General features: G+C 45.6%; 1 protein-coding gene across 1 annotated transcript; it reads right to left on the bottom strand.

Moving 5' to 3' along the window:
* Nucleotides 1–262: 262 nt before the first annotated feature.
* Nucleotides 263–14,935, bottom strand: PROKR1 (prokineticin receptor 1). The gene is made up of 3 exons (NM_138964.4): nt 14,666–14,935; nt 12,208–12,852; nt 263–3,634 (listed from the first exon to the last, which is right to left on the bottom strand). Exons 2-3 carry the CDS (start codon nt 12,690–12,692, stop codon nt 2,938–2,940), a joined length of 1,182 nt encoding a protein of 393 aa, NP_620414.1. The 5' UTR covers nt 12,693–12,852; nt 14,666–14,935; the 3' UTR covers nt 263–2,937.

The raw sequence follows: 21,737 nt of genomic DNA, 5'->3' as shown, positions 1-21,737 counted from the left end.
CAGGTCCTCAAATTTCAAGTCTTGGCACTCAGATGCTAAAAAGTATTAATGGCTTTACCAGAGCAGACTTCTAGGAAGCGGATCTATAAATCAGTTAAATCTCTTTAGGATGGAGAGGGGAAGTTTGTAGCATGAGTTAGCACTGATCTCACAAATCATACGATCATGGAAACTACTTAGTGTTCGCTCAAAGAACCGTGTCACTACAACTAGGAAAAGGATAGGAAAGGAGGTGGAATTCACAGGACATGACGCTCCATGATTTTCTGTATATCCAAGTATTTTCATTTCACTTGATAACAACACAACACCCTCATTCACTACAAAATTACAAGCAGACACTAATATTTGGAAGTAACACAGATAGTTGAGTGAAAAATTGATACATTTTAGGCTGAAAAGCAGAGTGGGCTTTGGTTGCCGCATATAAAAAGCTCCTGTTTAATACAATCAACTCTTGTTTAGCATTCTTAATGAAAGCGGTGAACATAATGACAATAAATTGTATCATTTTTAACTTTTTAATACAAAAGCTAACCTTCCAGATTTTAGAATGCAATATATGATCTTATATAAAAAATAAAAATGGCCCTCCAATGCATTTTTGATTTAGGCTAATATTTTAATTAATTTTACTCTCCAAGAGCATTCTGATTAAATTGTAGGGTAAGTCTACTGGGTGATAAATGGGAAGAAATAAATAGGTTTTTGTAATGTGTCTTTCAGGGAAATAAAGTAACTATACAAAATAAACTTTGCTGCCCAAAATAAGGAGTTGACTATATTTGGAGGGGAACATGTCATACAGGTGCCACTTAAATAACCTTGTAAGTGCGCTGCTCTAGAGTTAAATAAGAAAAAGACAAGTCCACGCTGTAGCCTACACACTCGTGAGAATAAAAACAGACTGAGAAACAACTATTCCATTGCCCAGATTCATGCTGGCTGGGAACAGTCATGGGAAGATGATCAGCACTTCTAGTATCACAAAGATACTCCGATTCTGGAGTATCCAAACCCCTAAACTCATCTTCTAACCGGAGACTCAGCCACCCTTTCCTTTATGCGTCTACCAGCAAATCTCATGACCTTGTTTGCACAACCATGTCATTAGGCACATAATGCATACAGCACTGTTATGAAGCACAAAGGAATAATTTACACAAAGAAAAATAAAAGTGGAGACGGCCAGGTTTCTGGATACACAAGCCAAAGTAAGAGGTTTTTCTTGTCCAGGCGCACTACACGTAGTTCCTAGCCCATCCTTTTGATAACTTGTGTGGTTGAAGGCATCTCCCACGTATTGTCTCATTGGCTTCTCATAGCCACTCAGTCAGAAGGTATCACAGGTATCACAGAAGGTACCACAGAAGGACAAAGGTGTTACCTTTGTCCCCTCGGAGAGGCTTTGCCCAGGGCTACACAGTTGACAGAGTCAAGTCTGGCTCTCAGATCTTCCAACTCCAAAATACCAAACTCCAAAACTCAAAACATCAAACAAAGGAGGCAGGTTAGAAAGTGGGATGAGTCTTCAACAACCTATGGGGTCACTGAAGCTCATTGTTTGGTCTGACACTACCTATCTGTGTGTCCCCTTCTTTCCTGGGTGCCCAGACTTCTGGAAGATGCATCTGACCTGCATCCCCTGCCACTGGATCACATGACTTCATTCACGCTGAGGACTAGAAACGTGTGGCTTATCCCTCCTAAGAGGACCCCTATTTTAGAAGCAAAGCAAGTCTTAATCCAAAGGAACAAAGACTAGGATGGGATTCAGGTGCCAGTAATAAGGATATCTTGCCCTCAAATCATATCGATGAGGATACCTTACCATGCTGTCTGGTTAGGAGGGAACTCTTCATCACTCACATTTGAGAGCTGGTGAAAACAGAAAAATGAATGAAGGCCACATCCAGGAGGTATTGTGTCCATTTTCAAAGATTCTATGCTTCACAAGCATGGAGGCGTGAGAGGGAAGGGAAGGACTTAAGGGGAAGCCTAATTGGTCCAAATGAAATAACAGGTGGGAACGGTATCATCTGTATACCTGGAGAGCCTGAGCCCCTGCCACACCTGAGCTGCATTGAGCCCTGCATGCTTCCAGTTTTGCCTTCCCGTTCTGAGTCTCCTCCACTTGCATCTCCCTTCTCACTGAAGGCAAAAAGTCCATGGAGCCAGGGGACATGCTTACCCTGAATCCAGGCTTCCCCCTCTGGACTTACTCCAGGTACCCAGAACCCCATAATTCCCTGTCCAAATGGCATCCAGGGTCTATGTGTCTTCTTCGCCAAGCCAGTCCTTCTGATGAAGAGCCTTACCACCTATGTGCAGAGCCCTGGGCCTGAGGGTGGCCATAGAGCAGTGTGGGAGGAAGAGTTTGCACAGAACTTGGCCATGAATACTGGGATGTCCGTGCACATGCATGCAAGGCCCCTCGCCATGAAAGATGAGAGGATAAGGGCTACAGAAGGAGCCTAGAGTCCCTTTCGTATTCTTGCTCCAGCCTTGCAAATGTTAGGCATGAAGTCCAGTGCAAGAATAGTCCCAGAGATACTCTCACACTACGAACACATGTACTGCAATCCTAGATACCTACTCCAGTTCTTTTGTGGAAACTCCCTTATTTCTATCTACACCACCACATTTTCCTTGGTTTAATTCCAATTTCATTTTGCCAACTAAATGTCATCAACATATATAGGTTTTACCAGTACCTACTGGCGTGTAAATTAGACATTCAGCAAATGCCACTGTTGATAGTGTCTGGTCACATGCATTTTAGAAACTCTGAGCTCCTTGAAAACATTGCTCACAGAGTGGTCCATTTACTTTACCCTCTGCAGCAAACAAAAAGTTCCAGGTTGATGTGCATCCAAGCACACTAGTCAGTGTCCACAGGACCCTGCTTTGTGTTTAAACTTTGCAAAGTCCAGGGGGTTATTTTAGTCTGATGCAGTCCACCTCTTCGGTGGCAGGCATCCCAATTGTCTTGAGGTCCAGGTCTGCACTGGACTTACCGCCATTGTAAGAAGCCTTCCAGTGGAGCAACATGATCTTTTTGAAGTACTTGACGGTGTCGTTCTTGACGGTCACGAAGCACAGAGTGTTGATCATGCTGTTGCTCATGGCGATGCACTCGACGATGTAGAAGGCAGTGAGGTAGTGCTTCTCCTTCACAAACACGGTGGGGAAGAAGTCGCGCACGATGGTGAAGCCGTAGAAGGGCGCCCAGCATAGCACGTAGGCGGTGAGGATGCACATGAGCACCAGGACCGTCTTCCTGCGGCAGCGCAGCCTCTTGCGGATCTGCTCTGTCTGGAATCCAGGGACCGCCTTGAACCAGAGCTCCCGGGAGATCCTGGCATAGCACAGGGTCATGGTGACCACGGGGCCCACGAATTCTATGCCAAAGATAAAGAGGAAGTAGGACTTGTAGTAGAGCTGCTGGTCCACAGGCCAGATCTGGCCGCAGAAGATCTTTTCCTGGCTCTTGACAATGACGAGGACCGTCTCGGTGGTGAAGTAGGCGGAAGGGATGGCGATCAGGATGGACACCGTCCACACCAAGGCAATCAGGCCAGTGGCTGTTTGGCACTTCATCCGTGGTCTCAGCGGATGGACAATAGCCAGATACCTAGGGCAAGAACACAAGTGGAGGCAGCCACTGTGAGAAAGAAGTGCTGGATAATCTTTTTTTTTTTTTTTTTGAAACAGGGTTTTGCTCTGTCACCCAGGCTGGAGTGCAGTGAGTGCAGTGGCATGATCATAGCTCACTGCAGCCTCGAACTCCTAGGCCCAAGCAATCCTCCCACCTCAGCCTCCCAAGTAGCTGGGACTAGAGGTGCAATGCACCACACGCGCTAATTTTTTATTTTTATTTTTTGTAGAGGTAGAGTCTCCGTATGCTGCCCAGGCTAGTCTCAAACTCCTGGGCTCAAGCAAACCTGCTATTTCATTTTGCAGCATTCTAAGGAGCAACAAAATGGTATGTGTGGAGGAAACTCCCAATGGTACGTGGGCTTCTGCAAAAGGTCAACTTGAAGCAAACCCCAATGTCATCTCTAATTAGCTATGCAACCTCAGCCAAGTTTTGTTGATGCTCTGACCCTTAGTTTCCTTATCTGCACAAGTATTGTTGGCTGTTAAATATTAAATGTGATAATGTATGCACTATGCCTGGCACAGTTTTAAGCCTAATAGGTACTCAAAATGATAACAATTAGTATTAAATATAATAATTCCTCCCATCGGTTTCTAGCCTGGCACTGTTCCCAGCTCCTTCCTGTTCTTGGGCTGTTCATTCTAATTACCTCTCAGTTTAGAGCTAAAAGGGCAAGATAATTCAAAGAGTTGGGAGAATCTGCCCTTTCCAATGGAAACAGTGGGCAAAGGTTTTTCTTCATTCTACATTCTAAAAATTGTTGCTTTGCATGCAAAGGAGGAGGAAAAGCATGTGGCCATGTGTGTCATTTTCAGGTGGAAAAATGGAAGGCAGTGAGAGATGAGTGACTTTCTCAAGGTCACAGACCACAGGACCCTTCCTTGATAGAAAACATTTAACCCTACCTCACAGGATTGATGTGAAAATCAATTGAGAATATACGTGAATGTATTTTTTTTTCTAACCGCAAAGCACCAGACAGTAAAAAGATACTGCTTTTGTCCTTTCAAAAAAAAACCCACATTGCTGTTACCACAGTGGTCCAGGAACACAAAGAGAGAGCACTTTCTAGGGGGGAAATGAGTCATTGTGCGGCATGAGAGCTGATAGCCTCTTTCCGAGAGAGAACGCACACAGCTTATGCAGAGAGCTCCGGTTTCCTGGAAGACGTCCCGTGGCTGGCAGAGGGTGGAAGTTGGGGAAGGAGAGAGATGGGGAGTGAAGTGGGAGGGGATTGACTGGTCAACAGTGGAAACAAACACAGTCTCACGTGTCCAGAACTTATTCCAGGTAGAGCCCAGAGCAAACGTGAAGGGGGCCTGAAGGAAAGCCAAACCGGTTGTTTCCTTTGAAACCAATCCCTATGAAGTTATCTTCCTTGGAATTTTGATTTGAAGAAAGGTTCATTCTTACTTATTTTTTTTTTTCCTGACTGTATTTCTGCTCTTTCTGTCCCTCCCCCACAGCCTGGGCAGTCAAGCCTATTGAGCATCCTTTAGAGAGTTCACAGGAGTGAGGCTCCAGCTCTTCTAGCCCCAGATGTTAAATAAAGTAGGATGGGTTGCGCCCACTCTGGACGCCCGGCCGACTGCCATCCCTGGCACTCTAGCCAATCTCCCGAGTGCCAGAGGGAAAAAAGGGAAATGTCTGCAGGGTGTTGGCAATGCCATTGTCAATGCACGAGTGTGGGCCCTTCATTAAGATCGCGGTGCTCCTGATGTAACCAGAGCCTCAAACTCGCCCTGACTCACAATGAAAATGGAGAGTTAAGACATTCTGCTCTCACTGGCTCCATTGCTGTCTGTCTACCCCACCACATTCCACTGATTACTCTGAGAAAGAAATTTCCTATTTCATATTTATTCACTATAAGAATTTTCACCACATAATTCTATTCCTTTTCCCGATAGTAGCTACCTAAGCCTTTATGATGCTTCAAACACAGAGTGTGTTTTCAATAAATGTGGGAAGGAACAACCACCTAAGACTCAGAAGACCACAAATCTAATCCCAGCTTTGCCAGAAAGTTGCTCTATGAATCTGAGTCATTTTTCTTATCCCTGTAGGTTCACTTCCCTCATCTGTAAAATGGGAATATCACCTAGATGCTATGAGGCGCCAGTGAGACACTGCACATAGCAACAGTAAGCTATTAATATACAAGGAATTACTAGCATTTTAAAATGTATTTTTTCCCAGAGCTATTCTGTATACACAGCAATTTTCTTTTACCTGTTATTGGCAAACACTCAATTTGCAAGTCCTCTCCTCCTTTCTATTTTATAGGATAAACTCTACACATCAAAACTAATCTTCAGGGTAATCTGTGACTACCTATCAGATAGTCATTTCATTCTGGGTCTCTCTGACATCACCCCAACTCCATCCGCAGAATTAGTGCCATGAGCTGTGCAAGAGGCCTTCCTGATATATTTACAAATAGGTAAATTGCAGAAAATGATTTCAAGAATTTCCATCAGCTTTGTCAATGCTAGGACCAGAACTCCAGAACTCTAGCATTAGTAATGTTGTGTTTGCTTATGTTTGTAAAGAAGTTTACAATTTACAGAGCATTTTCAAATCCACTTTTTCACTAGATAATTCCAACCCTACTAAATAGGTAAGACAGTGACAATGTCCACTCTATAGATGAGAAAACTGAGGCTTGGGGAAGTTAAATAACCTGCCAAAAAGCCATACAACTAGATATCAACAGAACAATGACTCAGACCCACATCTTGCTGCAAAGCCAGTGGCCTCTCTGAATGCTATTTACCCCCTCTTCTTTCATCCAAGAGCAAAATGATGCCCCCTCCTCTTGCCTTCCTGGCATCCCAGCAGCCCTTCTCCTCTTTCCTCTCCATCACAGTTGGTTTCTAACTATTGGTGTTCTAAGAAGGGGTCTGACATCTGGCGGCTGCTTTTCTCTGCTTATATGTATGCCCTTGGCTTGCCCTGTGTGTCTGCCACTACAGTGGCTTAGGTCCAGATTCATGTAGAGCTAACAGTTCCCAGAGAACAAGGAATAAAGGCTGCTAGACAAAGAGATGGTCCAGGCAATAACTGTGATAATAATGGGCTGGAAAAGAAGTATTTGGGCTCTGTCTCCGTTCCCAGGACCAAGCCCCAGATCAAATCATGGTAACAGTGGTCTCAGCAGCTACTAGGCTAGTCATGGGATGGGCAGAGATAACACAACCTGATCCTCAGGCCAGTGGCCCTGACTAATGAGCTCACCAGGAGGTTTCTGTGCTTCCTAAGGTTGGGTGAGATTACTCAGGCCTTAGCTTCATCAAGACAGAAGAAGAGAGCTTCTTCACAGGTACTTTTCTGGCCAGTTTCCTCAGGACTCTGGGTAAAAGAGAAGTTCTCTGGAGCCCCCACACGCTGTGGGATCTTAGTGTCTCCACATCAAAAGGAAACCCATACCTGTGGCTGGGGCAGAGGTCTCTCATGATCCTTTTTTGTTTTGTTTTGTCTTTTTAAAAGACAGGATCTTGCTCTGTCACCGAGGCTGGCTGGAGTGCAGTGGCATGATAACAGCTCACTGCAGCTTCTATCTCCTGGGCCCAAGGGTTCCTCCCACCCCAGCCTCCTGAGTAGCTGGGACTACAGGCACATGCCACCATGCCCGGTAAATTTTTTTTTTCTTTTGTAGAGACAGGATCTACCTATGTTGCCCAGGCTGATCTTGAACTCCTGAGCTCAAGGGATCTTCCCGCCTAGGGCTCCCAAAGTGCAAGGATTACAGGCGTGAGCCACCACACCTGGCCTCATTTTCCTCCTGCCCTCAGGTCTGACTCCCTCTGCCTGGCTGTTGAGACCTTCTGGAATAGATTCTATTCTTTCTGATCTCTACTGTCCTTGTGTTTCTTACCCATACCTGACATCCCTCTCTAAAGTACCTCAAATTCACTTCAGGCAATCCCACCTCTAGGCTTTTCCACACACTGTTCTACCCACTCTCTTGGGAAAACTTTCCTCTCCTTTGTTGATCTTCATTTGTTGAAGGACAGTTAGAAATCCACCTCCTCCATGAAGCCTCCTCTGACTACTCCGGCACAAAATGATCTCACCCTTCTCTAAATGTTATTTAAAATTTATCCTTTACTTATTCTTTAACTGTTTTGTAAGTGTTAGTTCTCCCTGGTCCCACCCTACCCCCAACTCTAGATGGTCAGCCCCCCAAGAGCTGTGATTATGTCTTACTTCTTTTATAACCTTTTACTCTCTGTGAATTCTGAGTACCTAACAGGATTTTGGTGCAACTTCACCCTCATTGAGTGCCTAGCGCTGGGTGAATAGACATGTAAAAAGCTGGCTGGACACAGTGGCTCACACCTGTAATCCCAACACTTTGGGAGGTCGGGGCACAATAATTACTTGAGACTAGTTCAAGACTAGCCTGGGCAGCATAGCAAGATCTCATCTCTAAAAAAATTTATTTTTAATATATAAAAAGCCATGGGGACAGTTCTCAGAAAGATTGCAACTATTTTTGGGAAAACAGGACATAAATATGTTTAACCATGAGACTGGGAAGCAGTCTGGGGCTAGATAATAAAAGTTTGGAAGAACAGGTGAAAGAGTTTGAGCCATACTTTGTAGACAATGGAGTTATTAGAGGTCTTTTTTTTTTATACTTTAAGTTTTAGGGTACATGTGCACATTGTGCAGGTTAGTTACATATGTATACATGTGCCATGCTGGTGCACTGCACCCACTAACTCGTCATCTAGCATTAGGTATATCTCCCAATGCTATCCCTCCCCCCTCCCCCCACCCCACAACAGTCCCCAGAGTGTGATATTCCCCTTCCTGTGTCCATGTGATCTCATTGTTCAATTCCCACCTATGAGTGAGAATATGCGGTGTTTGGTTTTTTGTTTTTAAGCAGGAGAGTGGAGACACGTACAAGACAGAAGATTAATTTGGCTGCAGCCTTGCTTACTTCCCTCGGGCCACATGGAGGCTTCTCTCTGTTCCTCTGTTTGTAGAACCCATCTGGTTTGTTCCTGCCTCTGGGCCTTTTCACTTACAATCCCCCTTGTCTGGGATGCTTGCTCCCTGTCTTCCCAAGGCAGGCTCTTTCCCCCTGTGTCATTCAGAAGCCAGTTCAAAGGCCTCTCCTCGGAGACCCTTCTCTTGACTACTCACCTAGAATAGGTCCCACCCTCAGCCACCCTCGACATTTTACCTGTGTACTTCTTTTGTTCAGAGTATTTCTTGCTTCTGAAATTACCTTCCTTTTGTGTTTGCCTGACTGGATCTCTCTCCATCCTTTGGTTATAAGCTCCAGGAAAGCAAGGAGTTTTTTTTGTCTTATTCACTGTCGTATCTCCAGTGCTTGCAATAGCATCTGTCACATCACAGTTACTCTATAAAAATGGATTGTTTAAATGAATGAATGAATGAAAGTTTAGGATGGATTGTCAGGGGAGTAGCGTTGACAGATGGGCAGATCCAAGAAACACTGAAGGCAGGAAGACCAAGAGGAGACTAGGATACCAGCCCTGAATGAACAAACGGGTATTGCCAAGACCTGGAGGTTGAATGAATGCTGGTAAAGAAGGGAGAGCAGCCAGGACAAAGGAGACTTTCTTCTAGGTTAGATGCCTCGGAGAACAATGGAACCAATAATATAGACAAATACAAGCAGGTAGATGATAAATAGTTCTGTTCTGGCATTTTGTAAAAATCTTGTATTTTTTTTAAATCACATCATAAAAACAATAATTTCAATGAAAGCAAAAAGGTTAGTGTGTCAGAAATGTTCATTAGTTTACCTGCTTTTTTGTTGTAGACATTCCTATAAGGGTTAATTTAAGAATTATCATATCCACTGTTTATTTATTGCTTACTGTTTTGAATATTGTTCTAAGAAATTAAATATATTTATTTCATTCAATCCTCAAAGCAACCCAATACAATAGGCTTTCTTTTTATCCTCATTTTGTAGGCGAGAAAACTGAGGCAGAGAGAGGTCAAATAACTAACATAATACCCAACACACAATACAGCTGGTACTTAAACCCAGGCAGAATAACTGCCAACATGGCTACAGAAATTTCATTAAGCAAAAATAAAGACATTTTTACAACTAAGTAGATCTGTTATAAACCAAGATAAAAATTAGTTGCTCCCAACTGATCAAATCCTGAACAACACGTGAGACCAGAGAAAAATTAATGATTCCTAGACCACAATTAGATGGTAACAACACATACAAATAAAAATAATTGCAGCAAAGATCACAAACATCAATAAAAGAATGGGCATTGGTGCAGCCATTCATCCACCAAGACCATTGGGCAGCCCTGTGAAGGCACATGGTGCTTTCCTTGAGGTCTGGGTACAAGCTTCCTATCATAACCCCACTCAACCATAGAAGCTCCCACGGTGCAAAGCATTTTTTCTAATTCATCTTTCTTATTGTATCTAATTTCCTTTGTGTAAACTCACACTGCAAGAGAAATGCTTGCAGTATTTCAGACAAGCTCTGTTTGGTATGAAAGGAGGTTATAAGCTTGAAGAAGTTCAGTAGATGGAGACTGACTGATTGACATAGATATCACTCTTACATGTTCCAAATAACCCAATGCCCCTTAGTGTATCCTGGCTTCCTTTCCCCTTGAAGCTACTTCCTCCTACCATTGTTACTCCGTTCAAGTGGTAAAATGGATCTCATCCGGGGAGTAGGGTCCCACTCCACAGGAGGCACCCTACCCTGCTTTTAGTAGCTGAGCACATGTAGTTTCTCGCTAGTATGAAACTTCAGGAAATGACTCTGTATGCTTTGTCCTGTTCATGGGCTAAGAGAGAAGGTGGCGGCTTCTACTTTCAAAAAAGTTCAGAGACAAAGTCCCTGGAGCTCTTCCTTGGCAGCTTTGAAAGGAACCTACGAAGTAGATACTCTACTTGACTGCTCCCCTCCTGCTCCTTCAGTGGGTTCATGCGGGGTCCTTGTCCAGGTAAATGAAAAGCTGCAGGGCTCTTTGATTCAGTGGAGGGAATTTGGCCTCCAGGTAAATGAAAAGCTGCAGGGCTCTGTGATTCAGTGGAGGGAATTTGGCCAAGAAGAAGTAGCACTCTGCAAGGATCTACGGGGACAGACCAAGGGCTATGTAAGCTGCTAACTTCCTGATGTCCTTCCCTAGAGAAGGGAGGCAGAGTTTCCACCCCTCAGCGGTTTTATAGACAGAGGTTCCTTGGTAACCCCCTTTTTTCAGGTTATCCTTTTCGGTCATCCCACCCCTGGTCGCCCTGCCTACGGTCTCAGAAAACAAGCTCTCTTAGCTGTGCTCCTCCCTAGAACACTGTCCTGACTGTGAGGGCCAGGTCAAACCCCCTCAGATCCTTGAGGCCAGAGAACAGGGAGAGCATGTATGCCTCAGGCTCTCTGGGTTAAAGGAGAGAGACAGGCTGTTCAGATCCAAGTACACAGAAGCCTGATTTGATCCTCAGGATAATTGTCTCTAGACTGTAACCAGGTGCTTTGTAATGACAGTCCAGCTGTGGGCAGAGGAGCTAGCAAAGATTGTCCCCCGAGGAACAAAGACCAGCCTGGCCCATTAGCACAAGTTTACACTAAAGGAAGAGACTAAGTTGAAGAAAGATATGCAGAGGCTGCTCTTACTGATTTTATTTGCGATCACCAGAAACAGGTCTTCTGCACTATCTGTGCAAATGGACTAAAAGGTGCAAAGTGATTAATGCAACAACAAAAAGTAAATAAACATATGTTCCCTTTTTTTTCAAAACAAATCCCTCAATCTTTTTATTTTTATTTATTTATTTATTTTTTAGAGACAAGGTCTCCCTCTGTCACCCAGGCTGGAGCACAGTGGCATGAACATAGCTCACTGCAGCCTGGAATTCCTGGGCTCAAGTGATCCTCCTGCCTCAGCCTCTCAACTAGCTAGGACTACAGGCACACACCACCACGCTCAGCTAATTTTTTAATTTTTTCAAAAGGTGAGGTCTGGATATGTTGCCCATGCTGGTCTCGAACTCCTGGCCTCAAATGCTCCTCCTATCTCGGCCTCCCAAATTGCTGGGATTATAGGCTTGAACTGTTTACCACAGCCAGTCATAAATCCTTGAATCTTATTTAAAAACAGATGATGCTAGAAGGTCATATTTTAGTAGAGGAAGTCTTGATGAGATAGAAACCTCCTTCAAGATTTCCACATTGACTCAAGAGGTAACTGCCTGACGCTTAAAGTTTCCCTCGATATCTCCTCTTACCTGTCTACTCTAGACCTTGAAAGGTGTAATATCTAGGAAAACATCCATAGCAAGGGAGATCAAAAGCTTCCCATCACCCAACTCTAGAGGGCTCTGCTGTCTTCTGTCTGAACAAAGCTGGAAAAGGAGAACTCTTCTCACTGTCAGTCAATGGGCAAGCTTTTGAGTCCCCCATGCAACCACATCTAGGGGGAATAGAGACACCTCTCATCAATCTGCAACTGCAGTACAGGAGGGGGCAATTCCAATGCCCCTTCCTCCCTGACCGCCTTTGTTGTCCCCACTGCTGCTGCACTCACCTGTCAATGGCGATGGCCAGCAGGGCATTGGTGGAGACATAGAGAGAGACAGTGCGCAGGTAGTTGACAGAGGTGCACAGGACGTGGCCGTGCTCCCAGGAGAGCTGGCGCACCACATAGTAGTCCATCTCAAAGGGGCAGCAGACAATGGCCACCAGGAAGTCAGAGATGGCCAGGTTGGCGATGAGCAGGTTGGTGAGGTTGCGCAGTTTCTTGTAGCGGACCAGGGCAGCGATAAAGATGAAGTTTCCAATGCCGCAGACCAGCATGATGCCCACCAGGGCCATCCCAATGACAATCTTGGCAGCAAAGAACGTCCTGGAATTGGTCACATCCTCATCTTCATCCAAAGGCATATCATAGTCGCTGTAGCTGAAGTTGAATGGGAAGGAAGTGGCATGGGCTCCATGAGGGTTGAGCACAGAAAGGAAGCTGGTGGAAGTGTTGGTGGCATTGTCATCCATGAACCCCATGGTGGTCTCCATCTGGCCAGGTGGTGCTGTGAGCAACACTGCTCAGAATTCCCCAGGGCAATGTCTGCAAGGCTGATGTCACCCCTCTCTGCTATCAGCCAGCTCTCCCTTAATGAGTCAGAATGTCTCTGCCAGCATCTTTGGGGTATGGTATCTGAGCTCCATTCTAAACCTTTGAAAGACATACAAACAGTTGGCTATATGTTGCAGTAAAGCTGGCCAAATTCAAAACCACCCTGTAACCTAAGCAGACCTATTAGCTCCCTGCCCAGAGTGAACATAGGGTGATGGAGTGGAAATAAAGGAACCAATGAGAGAAAATGAATGAAAACCACATACTCAATTAGGGAAGGGTGGATTGCTATAGAGACAATCAAGCACTGGCTCAGTTTATTTCTGTTCCACTGAAGACTCAGAAGTGTTGCACCTTTTCTCAAGGACAAAAGTTGGGAGTGTGGGGAGGCTGAAGAGAAAGAAATTTCTTTAAATGCTATTTAAGAGGGAGGGCTTTCAGACAAGCCTGTCTGCTCTCCTTGCTCTTCTGGCAGAACATGGCTCTAAAATCACAGAGCCATAGAGCAGCCACCTTCCTCACTATTTGCTGGACTTCCTGTTCCCACATTAGAACCTGCTATGACCCTAGAAGCTGGGAACAGCATTTATGAAGGCCTGTCCCCAGACAGAGGCTGTAGGGTAAAGTCACAGCCTGTGACTAACCAAGTGATGAGAATGGGGACGCTAGAGCAAAATTTTTCCTTGGCTGGTTGAGTGTCCAGGGGTAAATAGCTTAAACACTCAGAGGTTCAACTTCTGCCAGGCAGGAGATCAATAATGTCTGCACAGCCTGGAGCTCCCTGGAGGAGAGTGTTACACCCTAGAACTGCAAGGAGTTACTACTGCGCTCTCAGGCCTCCTCTGTCAGCTGCAAGGAAGGGGAGCGAAATCCTGATACAGGGACTCCACCACACCACATAATGGGGCTGGGGTGAGGGGTCTAGGGGGGTGTCAGCTGCCCTGGTGGGGACAGGGAGGCAGCCAGAGTCCCCCTGTCCCCTGCTCTCTCCCTGCAGTCCCTCCCAAACCCTGAAGACATCAGACCAGGGAGTGGGACGTAGAAGGAGGGCTGAGGTCTGGAGAGCACCCTAAAACAAATGTCAGGAGAACAGAGGGAAGAATGCAAGCCAGAGTTTTCCTGGGAAAGGAAGATGAGGAAGATGCCCAGGACCCCACCTCCCCACCCCCAGGAAAGCCTGCTCTCCATATTCCTCCGAGGCAAAACATCTGGAGCCTGTCTTCTTGGGGCCAAGTTTAAAGTCCCTCTGCGCCCCAGTGAGGCTCAGCCCCATTGCTGCCTCTCTGTCCTAACTCCTTACCCTGATTTTTTCCTTCCTCCGAGCTCTCAATTCTGTCTGGCTCAGCCCTTGCCCTCTGCCCACTCAGGGAGGAGAGGCAGAACTCAGCTGAAAAGAAGGAGGGGGGCAGGCTTGGAACCCAGGCGGGACAAGCCCCACTCCTTGCAGGTCCCGTGGGTCGCAGAGGCATGCCACTCCTGGAGGGGTACCCCTACAAGCATGCTACCTGAAGGGTCAAAGTAGTGTTTAAAAGCAAAGAATACAGAAGCTTCGGGGGTGGAGAGGAGGGCGTCACGAGATTAAGGATGATTGTCCAGAGGTCTTTTCTCCTTTATTCTCACCGTTCAGAGGGGAACCCCAATCCTACCCCCACCTGGTGACCTCTCGATCGCTAGAAGCCTCTCTCACAAACCCCTGCTGGCAAGTCCCCCGCCTGCTCCCAACTTTCTCCCTGGAGCCTGGGCAGCTTCCCCTAAGGACAGAGGAGGGGAAGCCTGGCTCTCCTGAAGAAACTCACAGGAGTGAATCCCTGGCAAAGTCCCCTCTTCACTCAGAAGCCGCCGCACCCCACGGCCGCAGCCAGTGCAGCGCGGGGTCCCTGGAGCATCCTCCCCGGGAGGGCGCGCTCTGTACCTGCGGCATCGCGGAGCCCGGCAGGCAAGGTCCGGGTTTCTTATTCCGGGGCCGGATCAGGAGACGCTTCTTCCAGAAGCCGGCAGGCGAAGGGCAGGTCCCCGCTCCCTTCCTCCTCTGCTCGGGGCTCTTTCCCGGCTCTGGCGGGGGAGTTACCTTCGCGCCGCCGCTGCAGATCCCCCGACCCGGCCCGCGCCGGACTCCCTGTCCCCGCCTCCGGTGGCCGTGAGGCGCCGAGGTGCGGGCTCTTGGCGAGGCGTGTCGCCAGCTGGGCTGCAGAGGCCGGGATCGCCCTGGGCGGGAGCGTCCGGATCGCCCTGGGCGGGAGCGTCTGGAGCTCCCAGGCGGCAGCTCGCGACGAGGACGCGCGGGAGGGAGCCGGGCCAGGCGGGCTGCGCGTTGCCCGGCTCAGGCTTCGGAACGGCCGCCTGGGGCAGGAACGGGGTCGCTGGGGCTCCGGGCAGGGCTCTGCGTCAATCCCGCGCCGGGGGCACCCATGCAGGGCGGCTGTGCCCGCCTCGGGGCACGGGGCTCCTCGGCGGCTCACCTTGGCAGCCCAGCGCCGTCGGAGTGGACGGACACGGCCCCGCTCAGCCGCGAGCTTGCAAAGGACCGAGGAGCCTCCCCCGCTGCTCACACACCTCCTCAGGGGACACTCAGGGGCCGGCCCCAACCTGGTCCCCTGGGCCAGCCTGAACGGACACCAGGGCCATCTTTGTTGCCAGCTGCCCTACCTCTCCGTAAAAGAGGCTCAGAGAAGTGCTTTCTGGAGAGCAAACAAGGGGGCGGGGTAGCACACTGGAGAGAGGAAGGACCCCCGCCCAGGGATGTCTGCTTAGAAGGCTGGGACGGACAGCGCTGACTTACAGAGCACAGTCTACCTTTACAAGCCCATAGATTCCTCAAAACGTGAGGCATATAGTCCCGCAATCCCACTCCAAGGTATGTAACCCCAAACTATTGAAAGCAGGGACACACATACACTGATGTTCATGGCAGCACTATTCACAGTAGCCAAAAGACAGAAACAACCCAAATGTCCATCAGCTAAGTGGATTAACAAAATACATATAGTATATACATGCAATAGAATATTATCCAGCTGTAAAAAGAAATGATAACAAGTGTTGGTGAGAATGTGGAGAAACTGGAACCCTGTGCACTGTCGGTAGGAAAGTAAAATGGTGAAGCCACTGTAGAAAACAGTATAGGGTTTCCTCAAAAAGTTAAAAAATACAATTACCATATGATCGAGTGTTTCCACTTCCGGGTGTCTAACCCAAAAAATTAAAAGCAGGGTGATACGGTTTGGCTGTGTCCCCACCCAAATCTCAACTTGAATTGTATCTCCCAGAATTCCCACGTATTGTGGGAGGGACCCAGGGGAAGGTAATTGAATCATGGGAGCCTGTTTTTCCCATGCTATTCTCGTGATAGTGAATAAGCCTGACGAGATCCTGTGGGTTTATCAGGGGTTTCCACTTTTGCTTCTCCCTCAGTTTCCTCTTGATGCTACCACGTAAGGAATGCCTTTCACCTCCTGCCTTGATTCTGAGGCCTCCCCAGTCATGTGGAACTGTAAGTCCAATTAAACCTCCTTTTGTTCCCAGTTTCCGGTATGTCTTTATCAGCAGTGTGCAAGTGAACTAATACACAGGGTCTCAAAGGCATGTTTGTACATCCATGTTCATAGCAGCATTATTCACCATAGCGAAAACATGGAAACAATCCAAATGTCCATCAATGATGAAGGGACAAACAAAATGCTCCACATACACACATACACTCACATGGGAACTTCCAAAAGTTTGTGGGAAAATGGAATTAAAAGATAAAAATACATAAACTTTAGCTCTCAGCATAAGCTCCATCACGTTCAAGATGCTTTTGTAATGATGGCAGACATTTAGTCCATCTCTAAAGGACTAAGGATCCTGGGAATTTTTCTATTTTATTTATTTATTTTTATTTTTTTGTTAAAACAGGGTCTGGCTAGGTTGCTCAGGCTGGTCTCAAACTCCTGGCCTCAAGCAATCCTCTCACCTCAGCCTCCCAAAATGCTGGGATTACAAGCATGAGCCACCAGGCCTGGCATGGGTCCTGGGAACTTAACCATGTCAATGAAGCCCTTTTTTTTTACATTATTAACGTAAGAAAAATAGCTGCTCCTTAAAGACTTTTTAAGATTAGGAAATGAAGTCAGAAAGAGCCAAATCAGGATGGTAAGAAGGATGGCTAATAATTGCCCTTGTTCAATTAGAGGAATGAGCAGTAGTATTGTCATGGTGGAGAAGGACTCTTTGGTGGAGCTTTTTCAGGCATTTTTTCTGCTAAAGCTTTGGCTAATTTCTCAAAATACCCTCATAATAAGCAGATATTTCATTCTTTGGCCCTCTACAGAAAATCACATGCAAAATACTGTGAGCATCCCCCAAAAACTATTGCTATGACCTTTGCTCTTGATTAGTTTGCTTTTGCTTTGTCTGAACCACTTCCACCTCTTGGTAGCCATTGCTTTGATTGTGCTTTGTCTTCTGGATCACACTTGTAAAGCCTGTTTTTTCTGTTATTACAGTTCTTCAAAGAAATCTTTCATGATCTTGATCCCGCTTGTTTCGTATTTCCATTGAAAGCTCTATTCTTGTCTACAGCTGATCTGGTCACAACAATTTTGGCACCCATCAAGTGGAAAGTGTGCTCAACTTTAATCTGCCAGTCAGAAATGAGTAAGTTCAACCAACTGAGGTGTCTGTGGTGTTGGTTATGTTTATGCTGTTAATCATCAGTCCTCTTCAATTAGGGCATGAATAAGGTTAATTTTTTTCTCACAAATTATGTGGATGGTCTGCTGCTGCAGACTTCATCTTCAACATCCTCTCGTCCCTTCCTGAAATGAGTATCCACTTGTAAACCGCTGATATCTTTGGGTCATTGCCCACAAAAAGCTCTTCGTAAAGTATCAGTGATTTCACCATTCTTCCACCCAAGCTTCACCATAAATTTCATGTTTGCCGTTGCTTCAATTTTTCAGAATTCATGTTCCTCTGAGAGGGGCTCTTTTCAAACTGATATCTTATCCTTCTTAGTGACTCAAACTAGATCCTGTTCAGACATGTTGTAACAAATGAGTACGAGTTTATTTGGGTGCAAACAAAAATTGAAATCCATGCTTACTTTTTTCATAATATGCATGCTCCCCAAATTTTTGAAGCCCCTTCATGTGTATGTGTGTGCGTATATACACAGAATGCAATATTATTCAGCCTTCAAATGGAATGAAATTCTGACACATGCTACAACACGGATATACCTTGAAGACATTGTGCTAAGTGAAATAAGCCAGTCACAAAAGACAAATACTATATGATTCCACTTACATGAGGTAGCTAGAGTAGTCAAATTCATAGAGACAAAAAGTAGGATGATGGTTGCCTAGGTCTTGGGGAAGAAGGAATGGGGAGCTATTGTTTAATTGGTACAAAGTTTCAGTTTTGCAAAATGAAAATAATTATGAAGATGGAGAGTGGTAATGGTTGCACAACAATCTGAATGTACTTAATACCACTGAACTGTATATGTAAAAACTGTTACAATGGTAAATATTTTTTTTCACTTTACCACAATGAGAAAATGGGGAAAAAAGGAATGGTGTACTGACACATGCTACAACATGGGTGAATCTTGAAAACATGATGCTAAATTAAATAAGCCTATCATAAAAAACAAATATTGAATGATTCCACATATATAAGATACCTAAAATAGGCAAATTCATAAAGTCAGAAGGTAGAATGATTGTTACCAAGGGATGAGGGGGAGGGGGAATAGGAGATTATTATCTGATGGGTTCAGAGTTTCCGTTTGGGATGATGAAAAAGTTCTGGCAATGGATAGTGGTGATGGTTGCACAACATTGTCAATGCATTAATGTCACTGAATTGTAACTTAAACAGTTAACATGGTGAATTTTATGTTATGTGTATTTTACATATGCAGCCATGCATCACTTAGCAATGAGGATATGTTCTGAGAAATGCATCATTAGGCAATTTCATTGTGTGACTATCATAGAGTGTACTTAACACAAACCTAGATGGTATAACCTACTATACACCTAGTCTGTATGGTATAGCCTAGTGCTCCTAGGCTACAAATTGGAACAGTATGCTACTATACTGAATACTATAGGCAATGGTAATATAATGGTAAACATATCTAAACATAGAAAAGGTACAGTAAAAATATGGTATTATAATCTTATGGCACCACCATCATATATGTGGTTCATCTTTGATCAAAACGTCATTATGTAGCCCATGACTGAATGTATCTCCTATAGCATAGCTCGGACTTCCTTAGCAAGGCATCCACAAAGGCCTATACGATGTTGGCCTCCAGTTTTCTGTAGTGGAAAGAGAGTGCTGCCTGGGATCTGGATCTTTAGTACATTTTGCCACTATCAAAATATACTAAAGGTACAAAATGTATATGACTTTAGGCAAGTCATATACCTTCTCTGGGGTTCTCTTTCCTCATTTACAAAATGAATGAGTTGAGCTTGCACTAGGAAATCACTGCCAAGTTCCAATACTTCATGCAGTTTCTTCCCCTGGCCCATATACCTCCCTGGACACTTTCTCCTGTCATTTGCAAAAATGTCACAGCTGTTACACATCTCTGAGGCTCATGTCACCTGGAAGGTGGAAGAGGACAGTGGGAAAGAGCATAAGATAAGGAGTACCGCCTCCTTTCTACCTAGCTCTGCACATGTGAACGGTGTCACCTTGGGCAGTGTGGTAACCAAAACCTAGCCTTTCTCTTTTGAAATTAGGAATTACAATAGCTTCTACTTCATAAGGTTGTGGTGAGGATTAAATAAAATATGGTGGGTTAAATGCTTAGCACAATGCCTGGCACCTAGCAGGCACCTGAGAAATGCCAGCTATTACTATTCCTTGGTGATTCTTTCTATATCTGGCCTCGTATGGGGTCGTAACTAATCTTGAGACTTTGCTCACATGTCATTTCTTCCAGGAGGCACTCCTTAATTCCTCCAATGGTTTTCATGTCTTCCTTACGTCTTGTTGGTTCTCTTTAAATGCACTTTTGTGCACCAATTTGCTTTCCATCTTGCACTCTTTCTGAGAAGGAGCTATGTCTCATTCATTTTTGCATCCTATTCTGCAATGTTTTTCAGACTTGCCTGATTATATGAATTATCTGGAGTGGTAGTTGAACCTACTGATTCTTAAGTCCCACTTCAAACCAAGGGAAGGGGCCTAGAAATCTAAATGTTTAAGCAGCACCCCAAGTGATTTTCTTTCTTTAGAGTCAGGGTCTCACTCTGTCACCCAGGTTGGAGTGCAGTGGCACAATCATAGCTCACTGCAGCCTCAACCTCCTGGGCTCAAGCCATCCTCCCACCACAGCCTTTCAGGGTAGCTATGACTGCAGGTGCATGCCATTATGCCCAGCTAAGTTTTTCAGGTTTTTTTGTAGAGATGTGGCCTCATTATGTTGCTCAGGCTGGTCTCGAACTCCTGGCTTTAAGCAACCCTCCCACCTTGGCCTCCCAAAGTGCTGGGATTACAGGTGTGAGCCACTGCACCCAGCTCCAGGCAATTATTATTATCAAGTGAGTTTGAGAATCTAAGAACTTACAACAGAGCTAGGCACAAGATACAAAACGTTCATTTGTCATTCCATGTAGCATATGTCTTCCTGACTGCATTTGTCTCTACTCAAAAATAAAAAACAATACTGGTTTGATATGAATGATTGTGATAAAATTCATAGCCTCTAGAATTGATGAGGCATCACGGAATGCATTCACTATCTAATACTGCATAACAAATCATCCCAAAACATAGCAACTTAAAACAAATATATTATCTCATAGATTCTGAGGGTTAAGAATCTGGGAGTGGCTGAGTTGGGTGATCCCAACCTCTAGGTCTGTCATGATATTGGAGTCAAGCTATCAGCCAGGGCTGCAGTCTCATCTGAGTGTTCAAGTGAGGGAGGATGCACCTCAAAGCTTACTTATGTGGTTGTTGCCAGGCCTCAGTGTTTTACTGGCTATTGCTGGAGACTTTAGTTCCTTACCATGTGGGCATAGCTCTAGGTTTCCTGGGTGACTTCACAATGCGGCAGTGAAACTCTCCTACGTGTGCTATATGCTGTTCATCACAAAACAAACCCTGGTACAATGTGGAAAGGGAGCCACACAGGTGTGTGAATGCCAAGAGGTGGAACCACTGGAGGCTAACATGGAGGTCATCTTGGAGGCTGACTACCACACAGAACTTAGAATTTTCCTTTTCCACTTCAAAGATCTGGCAGGAAATGGTAGTTGAGGCTAACAATGAATTTAGCCACAATGAAGATACGTTTGACCTTCAGTGTAGGGAGGTGGTGGATAACTTCTCGGGACAGAGTCAGGAAGGGCATAACCGGGGTGATTTATTGGCCTAGCACCTCCTTAGGGGAAGTGGAATAATGGGAGTGGATGCAGTCTGTCAGGCTCTCTGCACTGCAAGCCCTGCTGGGGACTCAGAACGGTTTGGGTGACTGCATGTTATTTTCTGTCCCTCCCACCTCCTCCTCTATCTGAGAAACAAGCATCTGTCTGGGGCCCTCTGAGGAGTTAATCCTATTAGAATTTTAATGATTTGTCTCTGTGACAGAGTTAAACCAGGGCTAACTTGGCTTAAAGCAAAATCTGGCACTCATTTTTTTTTTTTTTAAGAAAGGAAAACAAAATCTGATCCTGGCACATGCCTCTAATCCAACCCTTGGGGAGGCCAAAGCAGGAGATTCGCTTGAGCCCAGGAGTTTGACACCAGCCTAGGCAACATAGTAGGATCTGTCTCTAAAAAAAATACAAAAATTAGTAAGGCGTGGTGGAGCACGCCTTTAGTCCCAGCTACTCTGAGGTAAGAGAATCACTTGAGCTTGGGAGGTCAAGGCTGCTGTGAGCTGTGATGGCATCACTGCACTCCTGCCTGGGTGACAGAGCAAAACCGTCTTTCTCTCCCCCCGCCCCACACACACACAATCTGGAACTCCATTG

Source organism: Homo sapiens, chromosome 2 (genome assembly GCF_000001405.40).
Source record: "Homo sapiens chromosome 2, GRCh38.p14 Primary Assembly".
Taxonomy (NCBI): domain Eukaryota; kingdom Metazoa; phylum Chordata; class Mammalia; order Primates; family Hominidae; genus Homo; species Homo sapiens.
The sequence above is the reverse complement of the archived record's forward strand: the minus strand, read 5'-3'. Positions and strand labels throughout refer to the sequence as shown.

Excerpts from the sequence above, each read along its gene's own strand:
- PROKR1 (NM_138964.4), bottom strand. The coding sequence starts at position 12,692 with ATGGAGACCACCATGGGGTTCATGGATGACAATGCCACCAACACTTCC. Across the intron at positions 3,635-12,207 it reads CTGGCCATCGCCATTGACAG|GTATCTGGCTATTGTCCATC; the intron begins GTGAGTGCAGCA and ends TTCTTGCCCTAG.